The 3865-nt window shown below is 47.4% G+C and overlaps 1 protein-coding gene across 1 annotated transcript, besides 1 other annotated feature; it reads left to right on the top strand.

The window, feature by feature from the left end:
- The first annotated feature begins 1047 nt into the window (after positions 1-1047).
- Positions 1048-2736, top strand: CH25H (cholesterol 25-hydroxylase). Its single transcript, NM_003956.4, has one exon. It carries the CDS (start codon positions 1073-1075, stop codon positions 1889-1891), a length of 819 nt encoding a protein of 272 aa, NP_003947.1. The 5' UTR covers positions 1048-1072; the 3' UTR covers positions 1892-2736.
- Positions 1207-1276: an enhancer, noted in NCBI's record as "active region_3736". NCBI's record gives its function as "activates an Ori minimal core promoter by ATAC-STARR-seq in GM12878 lymphoblastoid cells {active_cell/tissue: GM12878}" and the evidence as "EXISTENCE:reporter gene assay evidence [ECO:0000049][PMID:35858748]".
- Positions 2737-3865: the final 1129 nt, after the last annotated feature.

Below are 3865 nucleotides of genomic sequence, written 5' to 3'. Positions count from 1 at the left end.
AGCCAACAAGGGGAAGGGTAGGGTAGTGACGACATCACCTGGTCCTTCAATAGCCTCCCGGGAGGCTTCAGGAACTCACATCTCTTTCCCTTGACGAACAACGCAGGTGGTTTGCTGAATTAAGTGTTCCCGCCCCAAATTGAGATACAACGGGCTTTTTAGCCAGATTGGCGCAGACTGGGAGTTAAATCCAGCATTTTCCCGGCAAAGCTGAGCCTGGCCGCCGCGGAGCCCTCTTTCCGCTGTGCGGTGCCTCCGGCTCCGATCGCGGGCCCGGCGCCCCGGGACGCGCCGCCGAGGGTAGCTACGCGGCCGGGCTGCGGCCTCTCCCGGAGAGCCTGCGTGCGTGGTCTCTCTAGCTTGCTGCCCGCCGGCCAGGAAAACTCTGGGGACAAGCTGGAGCTGGCGGAGGTTCCCATCCGGCCACCCTTCCCGTCTGATTTCCTGAGCTGACGGTCACCGCCGGCGTTCGGGGACCAGCGGTTCCCTGTGCAAAGGGCTCGTTTCTCGATCGCCGCTGGATAGACCGCAACCGGGTTCTCAGAAAACACCCGAGCTACAGACCGCATGTAGCTTTAAACAGTTTTTAAAATGCGATTATGCTTGCGTCTTTATGAAAGCACATGGATGCAGTTATACGTATGCATTAAAAAACACAAACAATTCTGCATTGATTGCAAAGGAGCGCTTTCTGGTGGCAATGTAAACGGTCTAGTTTGAGACCCGTGATGACACACGTGAACTGAGTTGCCAAACTCATAGAAACTCCACACGGTAGATCTGTACATTGTGTCCCGTGTTAATTGTACGTCAACTGAAAAATCAGAACTTACATGAAAAGTACGAAGTGCCACTGCATACACGCATATCTAAAAGCCGGTAAGATGCGGCTATAGATGAGCACATTTACAGCAATGAAGGGCCACTCTGCCGGGTTGCTAGCTTATTCAAGCTTCGCATCGCCGGGAAAGGGATGGAAAGGCAGCTGACATCACTCGGGGCGGGGCCGTGAGTCCTGTGAAAAGTCGATGGGACTCGAGCAGCAGCCTCAGCTGCCTTGCACAGCCTCGCAATGAGCTGCCACAACTGCTCCGACCCCCAGGTCCTTTGCAGCTCCGGGCAGCTGTTCCTGCAGCCCCTCTGGGACCACCTGAGGAGCTGGGAGGCCCTCCTACAGTCGCCCTTCTTCCCGGTCATCTTCTCCATCACCACATACGTGGGCTTTTGCCTGCCCTTCGTGGTCCTGGATATCCTGTGCTCCTGGGTGCCCGCCCTGCGGCGCTACAAGATCCACCCTGACTTCTCGCCATCCGCGCAGCAGCTGCTACCTTGCCTGGGGCAGACCCTCTACCAGCATGTGATGTTTGTGTTCCCCGTGACGCTGCTGCATTGGGCCCGCAGCCCGGCCCTCCTGCCCCACGAAGCTCCCGAGCTGCTCCTGCTGCTGCACCACATCCTGTTCTGCCTGCTACTCTTCGACATGGAGTTCTTCGTGTGGCACCTGCTGCACCACAAGGTGCCCTGGCTGTACCGCACCTTCCACAAGGTGCACCACCAGAACTCGTCCTCGTTCGCGCTGGCAACGCAGTATATGAGCGTCTGGGAACTGTTTTCTTTGGGCTTCTTCGACATGATGAACGTCACACTGCTCGGGTGCCACCCGCTCACCACCCTGACCTTCCACGTGGTCAACATCTGGCTTTCCGTGGAGGACCACTCCGGCTACAACTTCCCTTGGTCCACTCACAGACTGGTGCCCTTCGGGTGGTACGGGGGTGTGGTGCACCACGACCTGCATCACTCTCACTTTAACTGCAACTTCGCTCCGTACTTTACACACTGGGACAAAATACTGGGAACGCTGCGGACTGCATCTGTCCCAGCGCGGTGATGTGGCTGCGGTGGGTGCCCCTAAGACTCGGGACTGCTGTGCCTTTCACACTTGAATGAAGAGAAACACCTGAGCTATATATTTTTTTAAAGCAACTAACTTATTGCTTTATGTTTATCTATGAAAACCATAGATAAAATCTGATGCATTTTTGTAATCTGACAAAGTAATTTACATACTGTTTGTGTATCAATACAATTTTGTGTTCTTGGTATTCTTAGTCTAGCTCACCTCAATAGCCTTGAATCCTGCATATGAATTAGACATTCATCACTGGCATATTTAGAATATCTCTAAAAGGACTTGTTTGTAGAATAAGGAATTTTCTATGTTTCAAAGTGTTCTAAAACCTGGCTAAAAGAATGTATTTTTGTGGATGGTGTTGACTTCTGACTCTAAAAGCAATCAAACATGTTTCTGCTGGACAGTGACCAAGAATTATAGTACCTTCTTATATTTTTTTATAGAACTGTATATTTATTTTGAAAGAAATGTTATTCGTGCTTTAAAAAGGAAAAAAAACCATGAATCAAATAAGTATTGACTTCCGTTTCACTGGTATTTTGACTGATAAAAAAGGGAAGAGGGAGCGGGCATACCAAGTGTCCTTCTAAGCCTCCATCAGCCTCACCATGGAAAGAGAGGAATCTGGGTGTAGGGTGTTCTGTTGGGGGTTGTTAGAGAAAAGGAGGCAGGAGAAGGGGCTCTGTTTGTTGTGCTCTAGCAATTTCATGGAGGAAAAACACGCTAATATTCTTAATGCTTTTCAGCTGATTTCTGTATAACAGGCAAATGATAGGATTACTCTGTAAAGTTTCATAGAAAGATTAACGCTGAGCAGTCAATCATTTTATTATTTGTGGGAATGGATTAGGGGAAGAACAGAATTGGAGGCGTGCCTTGCTTTGCAAAACTGGTGAGTCAATAGTATACACTAGAGTGGCTGATAGATGTGCAAGGGGATTCTGAGGAAGCCCCTGTTTTCATGAATCCATCCATAGCTACTGCAAATGAACATCAAAGCATTGCTTCTGAAATCTGGAATTTCTGTATATTCAGTTTTCTTAATTAAAACATACATGCAGCAGGTACAGCCCTTTCTAAAAGAAAGATAAAGTGAAATTTGGCCCTGGATCCCTGATTCCTCATGTGGAAAAGGAGGAGGTGTCCCAGATGTTCTTGCAGATGACAGTAAATATTCCTATTATTAACCACACACCCATCACCCATCACTCACCCCATCTAACTCCTGCCTATTCATTTTAGTTTTGTTTTTGGAATATATATAGTGTAGAGTTAAAAATCAAGACAATTTAGACACAATATAAAGAATGGCAGCTTTGTGTGTAATTCTTGGCTCATTATATTTGAACCAAACTGTCATGTTTAAAGGTAAAGCATCCATTTAGAGACCTGGTCTCCACGGTCTGCCAAATGAGACTCCCAAGAAATATGGTTAGGCCCTCCAAATGTTTGGCAGAATGCCCCAGAATGTGGAAGCTCACAGCCAGTTTTCCCATGTTCCCTTCAACGTGTGTGTTCCTTTAGCTTCTTGACTGAAGTTACCTCCTCCTCTGTCTGTATCAGGACCAGGCTGGGATTTAAAGATGATATTGATTTATAAAAGTGAAATCCATGAAAAGAGGAAGTGAGATGTGAGGAGAAAATGCTACATTGACGGTAGTATATTATTATCATGATGCACGTGGCACCTGGAGTAAGAAGAGACGGATAAACAGGCAGGTGTGGAATCTATGGTGCAACTATGAGTTGTAAGCAGCTGTAGGCACTCCAAAGCTGCCCTGTAAATCATGGATAATAACAATTTATCACAGCGTATCCTCAGAGAATTGTAAAAATGTATCATGTTGCATCACTGCATAAGGTAATTTTAGATTTTGGGCAAATTATACACATGGAAAGTGCACAATTTGGATTTAGAAATACTTTCTTACAATCGAATGTCTTAACAGT

This window comes from Homo sapiens, chromosome 10 (assembly GCF_000001405.40).
Source record: "Homo sapiens chromosome 10, GRCh38.p14 Primary Assembly".
Taxonomy (NCBI): Eukaryota; Metazoa; Chordata; class Mammalia; order Primates; family Hominidae; genus Homo; species Homo sapiens.
The sequence above is the reverse complement of the archived record's forward strand: the minus strand, read 5'-3'. Positions and strand labels throughout refer to the sequence as shown.

Coding starts and splice junctions, on each gene's coding strand:
- CH25H (NM_003956.4), top strand. CDS start 1,073: ATGAGCTGCCACAACTGCTCCGACCCCCAGGTCCTTTGCAGCTCCGGG.